This window comes from Homo sapiens, chromosome 2 (genome assembly GCF_000001405.40).
Source record: "Homo sapiens chromosome 2, GRCh38.p14 Primary Assembly".
Lineage (NCBI taxonomy): Eukaryota > Metazoa > Chordata > Mammalia > Primates > Hominidae > Homo > Homo sapiens.
In genome coordinates, this window is record NC_000002.12 from 46,019,236 (window position 1) to 46,042,153 (window position 22,918).

Consider the following 22,918-nt stretch of genomic DNA (forward strand, 5'->3'; position numbering starts at 1 on the left):
CCCCATGCCTGTATGAGTTTTTTTTCAGGGACTTCGGTTTCTTGCCAAATCCCAAAGCTATGCACATCGGGAGAATTGGCGTGTCTAAATGGTCCCCATCTGAGTGTGGGTGTGCGTGAGTGTGCCCTGCCATGGGATGGGGTCCTGTCCAGGGTGGTTCCCCGCTGGCACCCTGAGCTACCAGGAGAGGTTCCACCCACCCATAACCCTGAACTGCAGCAAGTGGGTAAATGATGCTCTTACTCATTTTTCTTCATCTTTCTTAAACATATGTATAGCTCACATTTACTTCAGTGCTTAATATTAGAAGTGTTATTTCAGTTTTACTATTCAAAGTGTTCTAAATAATTTTTCTTAGAAGTCTGATGTTTTTGTAGCCAGAAGTATACTTAGGAACTTAACTCTTCTTTATACCAATTAGCCTATGGTAAAACTGGTTTCCTTACGTGTCTTTTCACTTGAAGTTGCAGTTTCTAAGAACTTACCAATGACATTGTGAGGACTTCCTGTACACTGTTTGGCTAGGAGGCATTTTTTTTTTTACCACTAAGGAATATATTTACCCATTCTCCTAAACTGTTTGCTTTTTCTTGTAAAGCTGTTGGTTTTCTCTTTTTTTTTTTTTTTTTTTTTGAGACGGAGTCTTGCTCCGTCACCATGCTGGAGTGCAACGGCGCAATCTCGGCTCACTACAACCTCTGCCTCCCAGGCTCAAGCAATTCTCCTGCCTCAGCTTCCCAAATAGCTGGGATTACAGGCACGCACCACCAGGCCCAGCTAATTTTTGTATTTTTAGTAGAAATGGGGTTTTACCATGTTGGCCAGGCTGGTCTCGAACTCCTGACCTCAAGTGATCCGCCTGCCTCGGCCTTCCACAATGCTAGGATTACAGGTGTGAGCCACTGTGCCCGGCCAAGCTGTTGGTTTTCAAATTACATTTTGTGGAGGTGCCTCTGTTGCTTCAGTGTATGGTGGGTGGGAGCTGGGTACACAGACCCAGTATGCGCTATTAGAGGAGGATGTACACGCACCACCTACTCCACCTGGCTGTGCAGCTCCATGTCCGACTGTTTCACATGTTAGCATTCCAAGGAAGATAACATTTGAAGAAAGGATTTCACTTTGAAAACAGTTTAAAACCACTACAGCTCTGACTGGGAGCTGGAGTGAGTCTTGATTTTTTTTTTTAACCTACCCATATTATAATCTAATGTATACAGGTGTCATTTCCTGAAGGTCTCCATTACAAATGTCCTTTCATTATTAAAATGGGCACATTCCTGAGATTTGGGCAGAAATGGAATTTTGGAAGCAGATTCAAGATTCTGGTATTCTGTCTCAGTAACATATTTCATTGTTTAGATCACGCACAGAAGTGCCTGCTGATGTGTAAAAGTGTGTGTTTAAACCTTTGACTCACTGCTGACAGATGTAGAGGCCTGTGATAGAATGTAACTGGGATGTCACACTACTTCATTGATCAGGAGAATTTGCGTCAGAATCTTTTGAGGCACAGTTGGGAGATAACAGGGACTGGGAAGGAGAGATATGACAAGGCACAGCAAACAGTAACTTAGAATAAAGACAGTATGTGATAAAGAGGAAGGAGAGACGTATTTATTGAGCACCTATTATGTGGCAAGCCTATCCAAGTTGTTTAAAAGCTGATTTCATCAATCTTACCCAAGTCCCATGGGATGTAGGTATTGTTGCCAGTTCTTTGGGCAGCTAAGGAAACAGACTCAGGGAGGCTTAACCATTTGGTCACGATCACACGGAGTTAAGTGATAAAGCTGGGATCCCCACCTTTGCCTCCTGGGGGTGAGAAGGGCCACTGTGGAACAGGGTGGATGCTGGGGCATTGGGGGGCAGGGCACAGTGAGTTTGGGGGCAGGAGGCATTTGCAGGAACAGACCCCTGATTTAGCGAGTGTAATGATGAGTCCTGCTGCTGTTGCAGGCTCATGCTAGGAAGCCGTGAGGAAGACAACCTTGTGAGGAGGTACTGGCTAAGTTGTGGAGTTCTTACTCTGCTAGGCAAGGAGTTTGCACTTATTCTGGAAGTAAAGGGGGATTCCTTGAAGATATTGTGGGAAATGATGACTTAAATCATAGCCTGACAGCTCTGCGTAGCCTGCATTAAAAGGAAAAATGAAAAGCAGAGATATCTGTGAGCAGGCTATTTCAATAGGCCAGGAGTCCAGAGGCAGTGGGGAAGAACTTCTGCAGGAAGCACTGACGTGGCCATTCGCTTTCCCCTTTGCATCTGCAAAGGCCTCCTGCTTGTGAAGAAAGCATAGTCCTCCCTTTAGCACTTAGAAACTGTCAATTGTGTAGCCCCTTACCGATTAGAAACAAGAACTTAAGTTGCTGCTAGTTGCAGCAGGTGATCTACACATTTCTAAGGTGTCATTTGGTCACAGTTCAGTTGGCACATCATGATCCAATTTAAGTAAAAAGTTTCATCTTGAAATCTAAAACTAGAGGTCTAAGTTATCTAACCCGGTCACCAAACAAAGCCAGTTTCCTCATGGCTGACGTCAGATTCTCTCACCTCTCCCCAACGCCCGCCATCTATTGGATTTCAGAATTTACCTTTTTGTGTGTGTGTGTCCAGTTTAGATTCGTGTTGAATTTTGATAGTGGTCTGGTGGTGTTTTCTACAGGGAAAGTCATCTGGGGCCTTTCATAGGGAGCTTCTACATAGTCTATTGAGATGACTCCATTGAAGCAATGGGCTTTCCCCATATAACCCGAACTTTTTGTCCTAGTGGTCTGAAATACTTCAGACAACCCAGATGATTCCTAATGCTCTGATTTTGAAGACTTTGGTGGGTGGTAGGTGCAACCTATTCAGCTGTTTGGGTTCACATATGCCCTGTTGACGTGTGGGAAACACAGGATGCAGTAAAGAAGGCACCACGAGTCAAGAAACTGCAGGTCTAGCTGTGACTTCTGCCACTGATGCTTGCTCTGAGACAGTTATCTGGGCACTGACTTTTCTCATTCATAATAAAAGATGTGGGGAGGACACAGAGAGGGGAGTTTCAACTACATGACCTATACGATCCCTCCAGAATCTGATTCTAAAGACCTGTGACAATGCAATTCATTGGGAAATACGCATGGTATCACTACAGGTTTACCTGTTGCTAATGCATGAGTGAGACAAGGACAATGACAAAGTCAGTGAACAGTCCTTCTGTTTAGTGGTCTAGTGGTGTTTTCTACAGGGAAAGTCACATGGGGCCTTTCGTAGGGAGCTTCTACCTAGTCTATTGAGACAACTCCATTGAAGCAATGGGCTTCACCCATGTAACCCGAATTTTTCAAAGCTCAATTCAGCAAATGCTTCTACCTTGATCAAAGCCTCTGTGTTCACAAGGCTGTTATTTTACATCAGGGTTCCAAACTCAAACACATTTTCAATGACTAATGCTCCTACATCAGAAAATTTACCAGGAGGTTTTATAGCTGTCTGTTTAAAGTACAGCATAGTTTCTAGCACACAGAAGGTTCAATAAATTCTAGCTTCTGTCTTATCCAGTTAACAGTTTCAATATCATCGGCCGGGCGCGGTGGCTCACGCCTGTAATCCCAGCACTTTGGGAGGCCGAGGCGGGTGGATCATGAGGTCAGGAGATCGAGACCATCCTGGCTAACAAGGTGAAATCCCGTCTCTACTAAAAATACAAAAAATTAGCCGGGCGCGGTGGCGGGCGCCTGTAGTCCCAGCTACTGGGGAGGCTGAGGCAGGAGAATGGCGTGAACCCGGGAAGCGGAGCTTGCAGTGAGCCGAGATTGCGCCACTGCAGTCCGCAGTCCGTCCTGGGCGACAGAGCGAGACTCCGTCTCAAAAAAAAAAAAAAAAAAAAATCATCTATATAGATAGATCCCAAGCTGACTTGAGAGCTTTGTCATGTTTCTCTTTGCCTAGAATGATGGCCTGTTCTGGCCAGTTGGCCAACTGTTTGTGAAACAGAATTGAGACTACCTGAGTCTACCATTGTTGGTAGGTTTGACCCCTGGCACACTCATTTCATAAAGAGAAAATATGTATTACCTGTCCCCTAATCTGGGCACACGTTGCCTGTAACAACAGCGATGGGCCAACCCTGTAACCTGTTTAGTCATCTCACAAGTGCCTGTTCAGGAGGGCATCAAGCAAGAAATGACTGACAGCCACCCCTTTTCCCAGAAGTTTATGCCAGCTAGAAGATGAATGCTTTGTGGTAGCACTTTTGTTTCTTAATTATATAACCTGTTTATGACTTTAGAACTACAGCTGGTTAATGTGAGGATAACATCTTTGGCTGTGTGTCCTCAGGAGTTTGATAGCCCTTCCTTCTTACTGCTTGACCCATAGCTTGAACTAGGGCTAGCCACAAGATTCCAGTGAATTCCTGCTGGGCCCTTTGTCTCCTTCCTGTCACTGAGGAGGAGGTCACAAATTGGGGCTGGCTTCCAAATGTGTGAAGAGGAGGTTACCGGTTCCAGTGAATAATAACTTGGACAGAACTGTGCCCCCCACTGCCTGTGGTTTGTCTTTGGAGGCTTCTGGTGTAGCCTGAAAGGAGAGAGGGGCCATCTGGGTGGGCCAGTCACCACCTTCAATTTCAGGGTCATCTTTGGCTCAATAACAAAAATGGCAGGAATTTCTATATAGTGTTCATTACATGCCAGGTTCAACTTGGAGCATTTTACACGTATTAATTTAATCGTCACATCAACCCTATGAGGTAGGACTGTTATTCCAAAGAGGGATCATACAGCTGGAAGCGGCAGAGCCTAAATTCAAACCTGGTTAGCTAGCTTCTATTATAGAAACCTCATTTTGTCTGAATGCCCAGGGGAGATTAGCCTCCTGAGGATTGATAAACCAAGGTCCCAAGAGCCCAAGGTGTAAATAAAATGGCAATTGGTTGATTTATACTGGGGTGACTGAACTACTTACGTGAGTTGCCCAGGGCACCCTGGAGTAATTCTTTAAGGGTGGTATTCCAGGCAATCTGAGTTGTATTGGGAAAGCAACTGATGGAAAAACAGACCCTCTGCTTCCTGTTATGAGGACATTTTTTTTTTTTTTTTGCAGAGGCAATAGGAAGTTGAAGCCTCCACTTTTGACCTCATTGGAGCATTTTGTTTTTACCATGACGTTCCAGGGAGAATGCCAGGAAGGATCATGGGCAAAAAGAATTCTCTCAGTCCGCCTCCTTAGTGTGGCAGGAGGTACAAATTAATTCCTTTGTTGGGTCAGTATGATATTCACCTGGGATTCATCAGCAGTATGTAATCCATTTTATCGGGAACACTTGTGTGCGGGTTGCTAGGAAGCTAAGCTTATTACCTGGCTCTGGCTCTTAGAGCTGAGCCTGCTGGTGCTAACAGATTTGGGCCTGAGAAGTTTGTGGCCTTCCCTGGACTTCAGAAGGAGGGTGGAAGGTCCAGTAAAGTGTCCAAGGATGAGAGTGAATGGGGAAAATGACTTTTGTTCTCAGTGTTTCTTTCACCATTTATCCAACCTATCCCCATGTGTTTTTGGTATTTTTTTTTCTTTTTCAGGTAAGAGTTTAAATCCAACCTCCTTTATCAAGCCCCAGTTTATGAAAACTTTCTAGATTCACCAGTGTTAACACTAAAAACATACCAACACAACCAAAGGAAACACGTTGTCATGAATGGTGAAATACTTCTACCATCCAATTTGCCCAGAGTTTTATTCCCTTGGGAGAGCTTCTTAAAGATCTAGGAAGTATCTTTTGATGTACATAACTCAGAGATTAAACACACTTCACAAAGTATAGGTAGGCTCCACTGAAAGAAAGCTCGAAAATTTGACTGTAAAAAAAAACAAATGTAGGTGTGATTGTTGACCTTGCAAAAGCTAACTCCTATTATAAAATGTTTACAAAAGAATTCACGAGAGAACTCCCGGGGTTGGCAAGATCCATTTGGATTGCCAGACGTGGTGACTGAGGTGCAGCAGTGCTAGGCAGAGTAACTGAACCCTGAAGTGTTAAAAAACAGCTGTGCAGGAGCAGTACCAGGGAACGTAAGACATCTGGAACACACACCCCCAGCCAGGGACGAAGTGTTCTGCTTCAGTATACATTAGACAACCAGTATTTTTTTTAGTACCTGGTACGGTATGTCTTCAACTTAATATCAGGTATTCCAGGGATAGAAAAAGACACAATCCTTGTTCAAAGAACTGCTGGTCCACCTAGGGAGGTTAGGCTAATAGGTGAACCAGAGAATGAAAATCAGAGGAAGAGATGAGTGGGCTGACTAGTAGGTATACTCCTACAAATTGGAGGAAACTGAGGCACAAGCGTTGAAGTGCCCCTTCCGGGTCACATACACGCTCATGTGCTCCCTCTCTCTCCCTTGCTCTCACTCTCTCCCTCTGTCACTCTCTCGCTGTCTCATAAGGGACTTTGTCACAGGAATAAGAACCCTGGGTTCCACCTACCCCACAGGAGCACAGTGGCAAGGTCCCATCTGATTCAAGGAAATTGGCTTTGTAGGGTTGTTATTGTGTGAAAAGGAGCAAGCCCTGTCCAAGGCAGATCTGGATGTTTGTGTAGTTCAGATCCATTTAGCTCCCTGGCCAGTGTTGATCTCTGCTGCTTTAAACCACATTAATCTCTGGGAGGGCAAACTGACCCATCACTATGGGAACCAGAGTGAGCCTGTGTCCTGGGTACTAGGTAAACACTGGAAGTCAGTACCTGGTAGACGCCATAGGCAGAAGCAAACTGGGGCCTTCCAAAAGCTGAAAATGATCAATAGATATGATTCTTGTGCATCCATATCCCAGGAAGGAGGGATTCTGTTTAGCTCTTTGAGCTAATTGTTAATTTTCAAATCTTGAAGACACTATTGAGCATGAAATGCAGATATTCAAATACCCCTTTCTCCTTGGTAGGAAATGGTACTAACAGTCTGCAGGATCATGGGAGTAAAAAGCGCAGTCTAAGCACATAGGCATTCATGGGGAGAGTATACGAAGTTAGAGGGTATAAAAGCTATGTGGATGGTTCAAAGATTAAGGTAAAGATGTGAAACCTAAAATCTCAATTCTCTAGAATGGGACATTTAGACTTCATGGGTAGAGGAGGACAAGAATCGGGAGTATGGGCAGTTAGACAAAATCAGAAAGAAGCGTAGAAGACTATGCAGAAACATTAAGAATGTAGTGGTGGAAATGTTACCTTTTTGGAAGATGGTATCATGCAGAAGGTTTGAATGCATTTCTCTGATCTTTAATTCTACCAAAAGTGTCACTCTGATGTAAGAAAATATTTAGGTTGAAAAGGTGAGGAACTGGCCACAGCTTTCCTAAATGTGGTTGACAACCTGTATCCAAGAGAACAGAATGAATTGGTCGATTTGCTGTGTCATGACATTTTAGGGATGTTTTTGGGATGTTTAAGGGATGTTTTTGAAGGGGATTTATAAGAGAGTAAATGAGACCCCTTAAACACAGAGATCTGAGGCATAAGAGCTGGTAATTTTAAAAGATACACAGCTGACTACAGAAGGAAAGAAGCAAGTCCCAGAATAGACATGTAGCATATTTCCATTTCTATAAAACCCCCAAACAGGCGAGACTAAACAATATTCTTAGGAGGAAACACATGGGTGATGAAACTGTAAAGAAAAGCAAGGGGCCGGGTGTGGTGGTTCATGTCTGTAGTCCCAACATTGGGAGGCCAAGGCAGGAGGATTGCTTGAGCCCTGGGAACATAGTGAGACCCTGTCTCTACAAAAAATTGTTTTAAATTAGCCTGGCACGGTGATGTGTGCCTGTTGTCCCAGCTACTCTGGAGGCTAAGGTGGGAGGATCGCTTGAGCCTAGGAAGTCAAGGCTGCAGTGAGCCATAATCATGCCACTGTACTCCAGCCTGAGCAACAGAGCAAGACCCTGTCTCAAAAATAAATAAAAGAATTAGCCAGGGATGGTGGCACACACCTGTAGTCCCAGCTATTCGGGAGGCTGAGGTAGGAGGGTAGGTTGAGCCCAGGAGGTTGAGGCTGCAGTGAAGCATGATTGTACCACTTGTACTTCATCCTGGGCATCAGAGTGAGACCCTATCTCAAAAAAGAAAGAAAAAGAAAAGAAAAACAAGATCATGATTACCAGGGAAGTCCAAATAGGGACTGAATGAGGATGGGGAGAGAGGTTGCAATTAAAGAGAGTTAAAGGGGTTTCAAAGGCCAGCAACCATGTTCTATCTGTCAAGGTGGGTCACAGCTAAAAGTGAGTCTTATTTGATCTTTAAAATGCATATGCATATTTTACATATTCTCATTCGTAGGTATATTTTACAATAAGGCAGGGAAGGGGAACAAGAACATGAAAGCATCCAAACTGTCATAGGCACTAGCATTTTAAATGATGACATGCTCTCCAAAAATTCGAACTTTAACAAAAAACTGAGCTTGTGCACTACCTCTGTGTATCATTCTTTTGCCACTAAAGTTTCGATTTTCCTGTTCTTTTGGCAGTATGATCTGTCTCAAGGACAAGAAGTGTGGTGACTGGTCCCATGGCCTATTTAGCTGGAAGAATGAAGCGTAGTCCCTATCCTCTTTCCAAGACCAAGGCCAAGATGGGGCTCAAGACCAGGGGGTTATCTACAGAACTGCTGGCCCACCTTCCACCTACCCTGGGGGACCTCCCTCTTGAAGGTTGGGATTCTTTTTTTTCTTTTTTTTTTTTGAGATGGAGTCGGGCTCTGTGGCCCAGACTGGAGTGCAGTGGCAAGATCTTAGCTCACTGCAGCCTCCGCCTCCCGGGTTCACGTGATTCTCCTGCCTCAGCCTCCCGAGTAGCTGGGATTACAGGCTCCCACCACTGCACCCGGCTGACTTTTGTGTTTTTAGTAGAGACGGGGTTTTGCCATGCTGGCCAGGCCGGTCTCAAACTCTTGACCTCAAGTGATCCGCCCGTCTCAGCCTCCCAAAGTGCTGGAATTACAGGCGTGAGCCACCGCGTCCGGCCGAAGGTTGGGATTCTTAAAGAGTAACCTAGCCCAGCCTCACTCTTTCAGCAAGCAGCTCTGAGTTGGGGGGTAAACTTTCTTCACTGCCACAACATTTGTGTTTTGCAACATGTTTTTAAACCATGTTTTATAACTAAGAAGATGCCAAACATTTCATTTGGCAGTTTGTATTATGAAAACCATAGTTATCTTTCCATTTTCACCTATAAAGTGATGTTATAAATTGAACCTTTTAAACTGTAGATGTGTGTGTTCTTTCTAGATTCTGGCATATTCTATAGGGGACATAGCACTCACTGTGCTGCCCTCCCCACCTGCCACCACTGGTTGAAAATAACAGCTTTCCTTGCTGCCATCACATACGTAAATGTAACTAACATTTATAGAGTGTTTTCTATAAGCCAAGAATGATAATAACTGATGTTCTTTTTAAAAACTTTTAAGTTCAGGGTATATGTGCAGGTTTGTTACATAGGTAAACTTGTGTCATGGGGGCTTATTGTACAGATTATTTCATCACCCAGGTATTAAGCTTGGTACTCATTAGTTATTTTTGCTGATCCTCTCCCTCCTCCCCACTCCCACAGGCCCCAGTGCATGTTGTTCCCCTCTATGTGTCCATGTATGCTCATCATTTAGCTCTCACTTACAAGTGAGAACATGTGGTATTTGGTTTTCTGTTCCTGTGTTAGTTTGCTAAGGATAATGGCCTCCAGCTCCATCCATGTCCCTGTAAAGGACATGATCTGGTTCTTTTTTATGGCTGCATATTATTCCATGGTGTGTATATACCACATTTTCTTTACCCAGTCTATCATTGATGGGCATTTAGGTTGATTCCACGTCTTTGTTATTGTGAACTTAGCTAATGTTCTTATGGCACTTACTATATACCTGTCATTTTTTAAAGCTCTTTACGTATGTTGATTAACTTAATCTTTGCAATAGTCCTGAGAGGTGGATATCCTGAGACACAGGGAGGTAGAATGACTTCTCCAACGTCACATAGTTAAGAAGTGGTAGAATTGGATTTGAACCAAGGCAGTTTCTGTTCCATTGTCCTAGTGTTCATCATTCTACAGTGCTGTCTCAGATAATATGTTAAATTTACATGGTGGTTTCATCTTTTCCACAACTTTTTTATTTCCCCATTTTATGGATAAGCACATTGAGGTTTGGAATTTCATGTGACACCGGGGTGAACAGCAGGGGGAGCCACAAAAGTGGCTTGGAGGTGGGACCAATGAAGATCCTGTCTGTTCACTGCCCCCACTAACGCCACCCTTTGTGAAATGAAAAGGCCTCCCTGTATCCCTCAGTCCCAGGGTGAGTGGCTCCTGCAACAGGAAGAAGGAGCAGGTCCTAGACCAAGAGCTCAAGCAAGCCTGTTCATGCATCGCTAATTGCTTAAACATCAGGGAAAGGGGTTTGTCGTCGTATGGGTTTTTTTTTTTTTGTGGGAAAGCTTTTCATACAATGCTGGCTGACTCCTGAGCCTTAAAGTAAACAACTACATCATCCTGTACAGAGGGAGTCAGGAAAAGGAAACTAAGAAAATATCAAACTCCTGCAGCTTTTTTTGAAATGTAAGTGGAGGAGGAAATGATGTTTGGAGGGCATTTGCTGGGGTCCTTGTACCAGAAGACTCCATGAATAATGATCCTCTTCCCAAGCTGTGTATCTGAGTAAATGTTTCCCACACTGTCCTTTCTTCTAAATACCCTCTCTGTGACGCAAGGTGAAAAACCCACCCGCAAAACATGGCTAGAAGATTCTGTAAACCCATTAGAAAGTTAAGCTATTTCCCACCAGGGAGTAATGAAAAGCCTCACTTGCAAAACTGCTGGGTGACTGAGCTGATCACTCCCTGAGATCCCCACATCCTGGGAGGGCAGCATCCTCACTGCTGTCTCCATAGTCTAAGAACATGGACAATATTCTAGGCATCCACCTTGAACATGGAGAAGACAGCACTGGAGAACCTTGCAGATATAGACACACTCAGAAAGACAGCAGACTTGTTGAAAAACAAGCTTATTTTCTCATCCATACAACAGATGTGAACCTCCTGTCTAACCCCCAGGTCCTTTAAACCCACATGGGGCACTCTGGAGTGCTTTCCTGCTTCCCTAGCTAAGTTTAAGTCTTTCCTGTCCTCCCAGAATACCCCAAGTAGTGGGGCGGTCCCAAATACCAACTTGGTAGTGGGGGTTAGAGAGAGGGAGAGACTGAAAGGACAGAAGACAAAATCATGAAAATCATGTGGCTGTTCCACCATGCCCCCCTCCCTGGGGATTCTGAAGTCCTGTCCCTCCTCCCTCTTGCTGTTACTTCTGAACAGCTATTGCATCTTTCAGGTGTGATTTGGGGATGCATAAGATCTAAAGCTGCTACCTTCAGGGTCTCTGAAATTAATGTCTCTTAGGATTGCTGCTATCATAATACTTCCCTGTAGCAACTTGTAATTATGTCCCAACGAAAAGGAATTATTCGCTTAAACGACTTTTCCCTTTTCCACCTTCTAACCCACCATTTGTTTCTCCTAGCCCTGTGTGATGTGGGATAGTCCCTGTATTCCTGCACCACAAACTCTAACATCCTTGCAGTCTTGGTCATCCACGGAATATTTCTTCTCCGTGAAGACAGTTTTCGTTACGTGTTTCCTTTTATGATTGGTGGGACCTTCTCTGGAGTGTCTTGCACGGTCCTGTATACATCATTTGTTACCTGGAGTGCATTCTATATTTAAACAACTCTGTCGTGAATGATGTACCATGCTCTATGTGAGTAGGGATGAATATTTAAATGGATTTCCCTTAAATACTACTTTGGATAGTAACTGAAGCAATGGATTAGAGTGGGATAGCCAATTAGATTTTTATTTGAAATAAATCACTTGGGAAAGGAGCTTTACAAATAAACGAAAAGAACTTGCCCACTTTTGTGACCGTATTTTGAGACTTTGAGCACCACTCATGCCCAGCAAAATAAAATGTCAATATCTCCTTGTTCCTTTGTTGGCTCTCAGCCTGCTGTCTTCGATCTCACTGCCCGCTTTCTGGAAACATTGGCATGTGAATTCCTGCCTGTTCCCTCTGCCTGAGATGCCCCAGCCATGCCCCTTGATTGTCCTGACCTCCCACTGATCATCTCACATCCCGCCTCTTCCACAAACCCTTCAGTTCATCCAAATCCCTGTAGCATTTATTAATTTTCCTTCTTTCTTGGCAGCCAGCATACATACCACGACTAGCTATTTAGATTTCTATGCACAAAAGTCTTATCTCCCAAAATCACTGTCAGTACCCAAAGGCAGACACACAGTCTTCTACCCCTTTACATTCTGCTCGTGTGTGTGTGTGTGTGTGTGTGTGTGTGTGTGTGTGTGTGTGTAGAAAAAACCCACTTACCCAGAGTAAAATGCTCATAAATGCTCATGCATCCTGTGGCAGTGATGGTAATGAAAGCCAGTGTGATTACACCCAGCAGGAGTCATTTCTGGAACTAAAATCGGCTGATTTAGCAGCTACCGTCAAGTTGCTAGTCCATCATGCTCCTCCTCTCAGCCCATGACTAGAGAATCCTGAATATCCCACATGCTCCTCACAGCCCCTACCAACTGGTCGCAATTTGCATGGGAGAGAATGCGAACTTATTTTTTTAACCTCTTCCCACCCACACAAACTCATCTCACAGCCTCTTAGCAATAGGGTATCTCATTTTGAACATTTACTTTTCAGACATTTATTTGGTTTTTTAAACTTCCAGCAAATATTAACAATGCCAGTGAATCCTGGTGTTCTCCTTTGCGCAGTGGAAATAATACTTCCCTTAGAAGACTGCCGCAAGAATTTAGTTAAAACATGTATGGCCTTTAGCACAGTGCCTGGCATGTAGCACACATACAACTTTTAAATTGCTTTACAAAGTCCTTTGTCCATGATCTTACTTTATCTTCATGGTGCTTTTGCGACAGGCAGGGTCCTGGGATATCTTTCTTTGACAGATGAGGAAATAGGCACAAACGATGAGCTGGGACTGGAACTGAGATCTTTCCAGAACCACGCCTGTGCCCTTCCTGTTCCTGACAATGTTCATTTTAAGGAGGGGAGAGAGGACAGCATTTGTCTATGGAATGAGCCCTGGCACCCAGCTTCCGCCTGGGAAAACCGCCATCCCTCTCTTAAAATGGGCACGGGTTTGCTGGCAGGACTTGCCCTTAATTATGGTCAGGCCACCTCTTTACCCCCAGCCTTCCAAAACCTTCCCGCTGGTTGTCCCCAGTTGTACAGTTTGTTAAAGTCTACCGTGTTTTTTTTCTTGCATCTCAGTCATCTCCAAAAGTTCCAGGATGACTTGGGAGTTTTTATTGGCTAGGCTGAAAAAATGCCCAGGCAACAATGGTGTGTTGATGCTTGGAGTCAGGCTGGCTAGAGCAAGAAGTGATTTATGTAACTCTAGAAGGTCCTAATCAGGAAGCTGAGAGAAAGGGATGAAGCATGTTAATCCTCTCCATAATTTTCTCTTAAGAATGACTTTAGTTAGTCATGGGTAAAGTTTATCTTCCAAGGTGTGTGCTTTTGGGATATCGAAAGATTTCATGTTTCCCAGCTGAGACTTCCACATCTGCAGGCTGCCAGTGTTTTCAACTGTGAGAAAAGAGCTCTCTTTCCCAAAAATTCATCATGGACTGGAAACACGGAGGTATAAGTTGAAGTAGCCGTCAGTGGTGCTTCTAAAGGTCAGGGTTTCATGTATAGAACTGGAGCCATCCAGTTGGAGGAGAAGCCCGTTCTCACCTGTAATCAGATGAAAAATGTAGAAGCATGAGTTGGATGGCCTCCACTTATGACGCAATGACAAGAAGTCAACATGTAGTATTTACAAAGATCAGTCATTTCTGGGAGGATTAGAGAGGAGAAAAGGTGAACCAAACATCACTTATGGACTTAGTCATATCATTTTCACTGATGGTGATGACAGCACGTCAACACATCATCATTTGGTGAGAGAGGTCTGGTAGCCGTTGCTCATCATCTTCCTCACTGGGCGTGGTGGTGGGAAGTCCCACCACAGTGGGTGGTTTCCTTGGCATTCATAGCAGAACCCCACACCCTGTCTTCTGATGGCCCTTGGACATGGATCTTGCTGTCTCAGTTGACTATTGCATTGTCCCTCATGGCAGGGTTCTTAAACATTAGTGTTTTTGGATCTCCCAGGGAGCCGGTTAATTGGCAAATTGTAGGTCCCACCCCTTGAGATACAGATTCAATAGGGCTTGGGGATCTGCATTTTAAAATGCAAGGTGGTTATTGGCCACGCTTTGAGAAATACTGCCTGATAGTGGCATAGACACCTACTGTTGGAGAGAGTTGACTTTAGAATCAATCAGCAAATGACTGCCCAAGGCACTGTCCTAAATCTGACTGGATTTGAAAAAGATCTGTAAGCTATGAGCCTTATCCTCAAAAGTGTACGTATGAAATGAGGTAAGCAGTGCAGGATTCGATAGAATCAGATGCCGGGCTGCTGGAGGAGTTCCTAGAAGAATGGAGAGTCAGGGCAACTGGGCATGGGAGGTGGCATTTCACCTGAGCCTGGAGGACTGTAGGATTTGCACTGATGACTCAGAGGGGAAAGAGCATTTCTGATGAGAGGAACAAATTGAGGGGTCACCAGTGTGAGGACAACCTTGAGCTTGGGATTTCAGTCTGAAAGCCTATGTTTCAGTTTAGAGAAAGCCGTAGGCTTTCTAATGTACCTAAAACAGGCACCAAGTCTAGGCAGATGGCCCCAGCCCACTGACAGTGGGTAAGGACATAGCCTTAAGCCATGCTGGAGATGACAACACTCTAGGCTTTTAGAAATTTGGCTCTGAAATAAAGGATGTCTTGGGGCATCCCAAGAGCCAAGACTGCGGTCTGTGAGAGTCCAAACCTGAGTACTTATACCTCAATGTTACTTGTAAAGTAGTTACAGATTTTCCAAGCACTCACTTCCATGTTATCCTTAGATAGGGGCTGTCACCTACCCCATAGGGTTGTAGGGAGGATTAAATGAAATAAATTGGGTAAAGCACTTACCCAACAGCACCAGGCCCATAGCAAGCATTTAATAAATGATAGTGGTGATTAGGGCTCTTCCCCCTACTTTCGTAAGGAGGGGGCTGTGTGCCCGTGTTTGCATATTTGGTATTGTATTCTTCCTTGGTCGGAGTATCTTCCATTCCAACTCCTAATTTTGAAAACATTGCATATAGATCTCTAGCCACCAATCCTTCAAACCTCAAGCAACACCAGAATTGGCTGCTTCCTTCCGAAGATCCTCCCTCCCACATCTAAGGACACCACAGTAACTCAGTCTCTGTCAGCTTCCCCTCCTGTAGCCTTGGGAGCACGCCGAGGCCATGGGCTTAGGAGAGGCAACCTAGCATGCTGGACAGAACCCAGGGCGGGGATCCTGTCTGGGCTCTGCTGCCCAACCACAGGGAGTCCTTTGGCAAATCAACTGCTCTGACCTCCTTTGGAGGCTTGTTGGGAAGATTAGAGATATTATTTCTGGCATAGTGCCATGCACGTATCAGAGGCCAAACAGTAGCCAGATTCATTACTGATGGTATGTTCTGAGGTTTGCACCTTTGCAAACCATTCTGAGACTGCTAGCTTGTTGGCATGCACTGCCTACACCTTAGAGTGATAGCCCTACTATGTGTGGTCTCTGTACATCTTGGTTCTGGGAAGGGGCTACAAATCTGGATTAGACCCAAAGAGTCCCTTCTCGAAAGCAGCCTGTGACCACATGGGTTGTACCTCTGAAGCTGAAGGTCTCACCCTTCCTCTTCCTTCAGACAGGGTCTCCTTTGCTCTGGCTCAGCAAAATCAGAATGACCCTTGATGTCAGGGCTTTCAAGCAGAGCACATTCCCAGCTTCCATCGTCCAGGTGTCCCCATACACCACAGGCCTGCCCATAGCTCATGACACCACACTTCAGGATTTCTTTGATACCTCTAGAGAAACATCAGAATTTTTGAAGCTGGCCTGAAAGGCCAGAGCCTTCTCTGTAGCCTGAAGGATCTGAACTCCTTTCTCATAGAGAAAACAAGGTCCAGGTCTCCTGTGTGAGCAAGAAGCACAAAAGGCCAGGGCTTTGCTTGACTAGACCATACCCCAGGGCAGGCTCTTTTGTGCAGATGCTAACTTGAAACAGGACACTTTGTCCTTCCCAGTCCCTGCCTGCTCCATCCCCACCTCATAACTCCCCTCTTTAGTCCAGGGGGTGCCCTCCCAGACTTAGGGAAGGAGTGTGTGAAATGAAAAACCATTAGAGGTCTCAGCTCAAGGAGGGAATAATATTGTTGTTCGTAAATGTCTGCTGAACATTTGTCATGTATTTGGCATATGCCATATATGTGCGTGTGTATATAGTAGATGGTAAGGTAAATATAAATTACTATATATGGTGTATATGGCACGTTATATATAGTAAGTGTATATACATAAACATAGCCTAACACCATGGAGGCAAACAAGTTATAACAGATATGCATTAATTTAACATCTGTTTATCTTATACCTGCTACATGCAAGGCACAGTCCTAAGTCCTTGAGATCCAGCAGAGAACAAAAGAGCTGGAAACCTGTCCTCATAGAGCTTCAAGTAGTGGCAGAAAGGCAATAACGGATTAAAAAATCCCTGATGTCAGGTGGTGATAACAAATGAGACTGCAAAGCAGGGGAAGGTGGAAGTGCTAGGGAAAAGGTGTTTGTTTGTTGTAATCCAGGGTGGTCTCTGATGAATTACAGTAACATTTAAGCAGAACATGAAAGAAGTGGAGGAGCCGGCCACTCATATGCCTGGGGGAGGAGTGTCCCTGGCAGATCGAGTGGCCCGTGCAAAAGTCCTGTGGCAGGAGTGTGTCTGGGACTTCTAAGGAGCAGTGATGCTCTGCTCATGGTTGGAGACAGAGGGAGTTAAGGGGAAAGTGGGATGAGGTGGGGTCAGAGCGAGAGCAGGCACTCACCTGACCATTCTAGAAAAGAAAGAATAACTAGGCCGGTGTGTGGTGGCTCATGCCTGTAATGCCAGCACTTTGGGAGGCTGAGGCAGGAGGATTGCATGAGGCCAGGAGTTCAAGAACACCCTGGGCCATATAGTGAGACCCCTATTTCCACACACACACAAAATTAATTAAAAAACATTAGCCAGGTATGGTGGTACATACCTGTGGTCCCAGCTACTTGAGAGGCTGAGGTGGGAGGGTCACTAGAGCCCAGGAGGTGGGGACTGCAGTGAGCCATGATCGCGCCACTGCACTCCAGCCTGGGCTACAGAGCAAGACCTTGTCTCAAAAATAAGCTTGGGTATCTGGACAAGGCAGGACATGGCAAGCACACACTAAGGAGCACAGAGCATCCATCTCAAAACTCTCAGAGGGGAGGGAGTGTCCTCTCTGGGCTGGGGTGGTCAAGGAAGGCCTCTTGCAAGAGGTAGGACTTGAGCTGATGAGAAGGACACTGCAAGCCCGGCGGACACTTGAGATGTTCCTGGTGGGAGAAAGGTGAACAAACCTCAGTGGAGAGTTTGTGTAGGGGCCTAGTGGAAGATAATGCAGAAGAGAGATGTCGGGGCTATGTGTAGAGGGCCTCAAGTGACAGAGAAAGTTGTAAAACCAGTGGAAGCCTGGCTGTCCCCCATCCTCTTCTCCCAGTCAGCTACCTTGGCCCAGGCCCTGGTAGATGCTGACTCTCAGAAGCTCCCAGCAGCTGCCAGGACGGACCCTCCTCCTCGCCTGCCTTCCCACAGCTGGCGTCCAGGACACTTGGGTTCAGCCCCTTCATTTGCTGACTCAGATTTTCCTGTACCCATTCCAGTGATGACTATCACTCTGCCAGGGCCCCCTCCCAGCCACAGACACCCTCCCCAGACATAAGTCTCTGCGGTCTGCAGGAATTCTCTTTCCGCCTTTCTGGAACCACTGGAATCCCACAGACTGGGGTGGACAGCTATTCTTATGAAAAGTGTGGCTCCATTTCTGGACTAAACAGGCGTACTGGCGCTGAAGATAAGGATCCCAAACTCCAAGTCAGGCCTATCTGCAAGCAAAGTCTCAGCCTCGCTCACCTCTTCCCTTCTTCCATCAGTCATTAGCCCTGTGTGAGAAAGCAGGGGTGCATTGTTACCATATGACATGGCAAAAAGGGATTACCTGCTAATGCCATTTGGTTTAGTGATGCCTTGTTACATAAACTACTCTGGAGGAGTTCAAATATCCCTCAGGCGAACGCTTCCATCCCCAGGTTGGTAACACTATAGCTGAGTATTGTTTTATTTGCCATTTTTCAAAAGAGGGAGAAACATACCCAAGCCATTATCCAGCCTACCAATAATACATTTCAAGAAAACAACCGCAACTCCCAATCCTTTCTTCTGAGGGCAGGATGTTGTAGGGCTATTGTTCCTTCTCAGGCCACTCTTCAACCTACAGAAACTGGTCTGGGCTACAGTCAGATTACAGGGGGTATCAGGAGGCCTTTGAGAGTCAGGAAGAAAGTCTTACAGACAGAAGCCCAGCTCTAGCAAAGAGGGAAAGATCACTGCCTTTGAAGCTGGATACATATGTGGCCTTTAATTTGAGTGCTGGTTGGTTGTCGTTGGGCAAATGACTGAAACTCCTTGATGCTTATTTTCTTTATCTTAAAAACATAAAAAATAAATGAGGATAAGATGATGATGACCATCATAGGGTTGTTTTAACGCTGGGATGCAGTGATGTGTGTGCAAGCTCCTGGCACAGCAACTTAATACCAGTCTCCTCTGTCCTGTCTTGCATCTGCTGAGGATGAAGAAGGAGAGCAGTTGAGTGTGGCCCTGCCTGGCTGGGGGCCCTTCCTCTATAGTTATCTTCTTTATAAGCCATTTATAGTCTTGGTATAATTTTAAGGAAAAAAAATCAAGGCGCTACTTTGCATTTAAAATTCATTTTTGAAACATACTGGCAGCAAACGCCACACTATTGCAGTTAGGGAAGACAGGAGAGCAAATGTCAGGTCTTGGCAAAGTGGGGTGGGGAATTTTTTGAGTGTGACATTTGAATAAAGAAATCTAAACTAGGAAAAAAAAAAGTTTTCCCCGATCTTATCATGGTACAATGAAGAGTTGTATAAAAACTGTTTGTCCCTGCTGCATGTTTACTTACCCATGGGCAGGATATCTCACGGGCCAAAAGTTCAAACTACTGCTAGCTCCCAAGCAATGTGTGAACTTAAAATGAACTGGCTTCAGAAGAGGCTCGAAAAATGATTTGATCCACAAAGGTTCTCACCTCCCAAATGTTCTACCAATACTTGTCATGGTCTTTGGTGTAGTATTAAATATATACAATGATGGAATTAAGGCATAGTAACAACTTCACACACACACACACACACACACACACACACACACACACACACACACACACATTTTCCAGATATTTCCTTGCGAATGACCATCTTATTCCATTACATCAAGCATCTAGGCTTAGCCATGCTTTATAATGATAAAACGGAGCTCTTCTACCAACTCCAAACAGAGGAATGACAGAAGATTTAGCATGTTTTTCTTAATGTTGATTGAGTTTTCCTACTTATTGCTGTAGCAACTATGAACATCTTCAGGTTGGGAATCAGACCTTACCAATAAACATTTGAAGCGCCAATATAGTTCCTGGCTGAAAATGTCTTTTAGATGTAATTTATCTAGTTCCTTAGGTATCTGAGATACTGTTAAAATGCAATTTAGCGTGGTAGTAAGAATACGGCTTTAATGGCTAACGTAGTTGAGACCCCACCTCTGCTCAAACTAGCTGGGCAATTTTGGTCAATCTACTTCTCTGTGTTTCGGATTCTTGATCTGCAAAATAAGATAATAGTAATGAATAGACTAATTTTCAGGATTAAATGAGTGGATGCAATGTTAAGTCCTTTACATGACACACATGATTTGCTATGCTTTTAATTATGATTCTCTTCAGGTTTACCATCTCTTGCTCACCTGCTTCCCACCCAGTTTCTCTGTCTCTCTCACATCTTCCTCCAGTGAGAGCATTCGTTCCAGGGAGCTTGGAAGCCAGCTGTCAGTTCTCTGCCATAATCTTTTCACAATGGCATTTGACCCATTGGGGTTTCAGATCTCCATATGTATATTCCAAAACATTATTGCTCAATGAGCCTCCACTGAGGCCTGTTCTTCTAACCCTACTGACCATGATTTTTTAGCTGTATTCGTGGGGTTTTTTTGTTGTTGTTTTTTTGTTTGTTTGTTTTAGTAGAGGGGGAGGGGAGAGGGAAGGGAAGAGGGAGTCTGGTTCATGTTATTAAAAAAAAAATTAAATTTTGCTCCCAGGGTCTAAGTTAGATCTTTGGGTTGGCTCAGCCTTCCTCTTCCAGAAGCCTACTCTGGCTAATGTCCTCTAAAGTGTTTTTCCTGTTGTTTATTCCAGAAATAGTTCAGGATGACGATATTGACATTTGGGCTAAGGCATATACGAGGCTCTTCAATTAGACACAGGCTCAGCCTCTCATTTGCTCAGTGGCTCATATTCTCCACTGATCCAGGAGGGGGATATTTGGGTTCACACCACAGTCTGCCCTCAGTGGGGTTATTTGTGGGTCTCCGCACCATCCTAGATTTATTTCTCTGCTACTGGGATGGATTGTGGTTGTGCTTGTGGGCTGCCATGCTTGCAAGCCTGTGCTGTTTCTGGAGTTGCCATTTTTACCTACTGAGGGGAGGACATTTAATTTGAGTAAATATGTTAGAAAACTTGTTTCACAACCTGGTCAACACACCCATTAACCATGGCTGGAAGTTTCCTGAAGGCAGGGCCTGTTTGCCTCTCTGAATACACACAGTGTTTAGACACAGAACTGAACACAATGTCTGGCTCTCATGGTAGGTGCCTAGGGGATGTTAACTAAATTGAACTGAACTAGGCCTCAAAGGATGAGTAGGATTTTAGCTGGTAGAGCTGGAGAGCTAGGGGCATTCCAGGGAGAGGATCCACACAAAAGAGGAGACGAGTGGAAAGCAGGAATTGTGAAGGGTGAACAGCAATTAGACCGTAATCTGGTTACACTGGAGGGTACTTGGAGGACAGACAGATGGCAGAGCACCGTGAATACCTTAGGATAGTGTTGTCTACCTTGGCTTCAGCTTAGGATCACCTGGACTCCTTTAAAAACATACTACCTCCTGGCTCACCCCAGTTCAACTGAAATTGAATCTTCATGGTGGGGCCTGGGGGAGCACTCTGGGGAAGGGTTGAGAGCCACTGTCTAGGACTTCCAGGGACACTTAACAGGATGTAGGGAGAGCCCCACACCAGAAGACCTCTTGTACTGTAGATTGCTAACAATCTTGAGAAAATGGCAAAATCTGCCTTTAAGTCTTCTGAGCTAGAGTTTAGAATTTTAGAGTAAAACTAGAAAGAATTGGGTAATGATGGAAAGAGATCTGTTTATGACACAGAGTTAACAGACAGGACTAGTAACAATCTGAGCAGGCAGTGCTAAAGACTTACTAAGATTTCATCTCCCTCCCTTTCCCTTAATTCTAACTAACCTTTGTACTCTGAAAATCGCTGATTTCCAAAAAGCTGGCAAACTGACGAATCTCAGTTTTAAATGTAGTTCGGACTTTACCCTCTATCTAGGTCACAGCTAAAGCTGCCATATGTACCAGGAATGAGAACTTTGTAAGTTAATCAGGGCACGGTTTATATTTCCAGCATTCAAAATAAATCATTCCGTTTGCCTGTCATATTCTGACTTTTTGAAAATCATTTCTATCTGTGAGTAGGTGGCACGAGGTATTCATTTCATAAGTAGGTTTGGATTCGGCAGGTCTTCAAGTTCACAGCAGGGATGCAGTCTCCAGTTTTTCTCATATTTGTACCAGTTGTTAAGCCATAGGTTTTAAACTAACAAATGATTACCCTTGATCTTAAGAGTACTGGGTATACCCAAGTCCAAAATCAGAATTTTAAAGCAATATTAAAACAAAACAAAATCCCTTTTCATGTAATGATTGGCTCATTGGTTTTTCCTTCCATAAGTCAATATCTGATGCTTTGATTTTCTTAAGTCATGTATATTTATAGAGCCACATACACCTGTTAGACACACATTGAGTTTTCAAGAGAGAAAAACACACTTGCATATGTTTCCCTGCCCTAACTCAGTTCACATCCAGACTGGCTTCTAGAAGAAAGGAAATTTATAGTGTGGAAAGTTGCAGCATTTGCAGGAACTATGGGAATCTCAGCACATAGTCTTAGATAAATTTTACAAGTATTGGCCCAAGTAACCCACAAGGCAGTGATCTGGATCTGTTTACCAAGTTAACTGCCAAGTCACAAATAATAGCTTTTTCCCTTAACTTGGAATGAACAACATAGTACTGAAGTGTTTCCTTGTGAATACCTCTCCATATGCGTCATGACAAAATACTGTATAGATCAGTTTACATTAGATTGTTTAATTAAATTTAAAATTCTTTAAGCTGGAGGAATTTGCCCTAAAACTGTTCTGCACGGCCAACAATTTGATGTTGAAAAAACCAGCCTCCATGTTAACATGTCGGCTTGAATACTCTTATTTTCCACACTGGAAACTTACCATGAGCAATTCTTTTCAGAGGTTAGCTTTTAGTTATCAAAATGGGTGATGTCTATATCAAAGATTGTAATATAATTTGAGGTGGCAGTCCCCCTTCCAGGAATCCCATTTTATGGTTTGATTGTGTTTCTCAATATATGATCTGTAGCTGAACTCCAAATACTGACTACTGGGATTACCAGCCAAGTTAATATTAACATTATTGAAAAGAGTCGGTTAATGTGAAAAGGAAAAGTCAAAGGTGTTAAATTAGCA

At 44.3% G+C, this 22,918-nt stretch overlaps 1 protein-coding gene across 21 annotated transcripts in view; it reads left to right on the top strand.

Moving 5' to 3' along the window:
• Positions 1-22,918, top strand: part of PRKCE (protein kinase C epsilon) — a 536,712-nt gene that overhangs the window by 367,957 nt on the left and 145,837 nt on the right. For 2 of the 21 annotated variants that reach the window (XR_007078551.1, XM_017004492.3), the window contains one exon: positions 5,092-9,235. The exons of 18 other annotated variants lie outside the window; for them this stretch is intronic. Coding sequence is in view for 1 of the 3 variants with exons in the window: in XM_017004492.3 (XP_016859981.1) it covers positions 5,092-5,100 (9 nt within the window). In the remaining 2 variants the exon portion in view is untranslated. Of the gene's footprint in view, positions 1-5,091; positions 9,236-22,918 lie in introns of those variants that run through there. One more of the 21 variants, XR_939695.3, reaches the window with a different exon arrangement.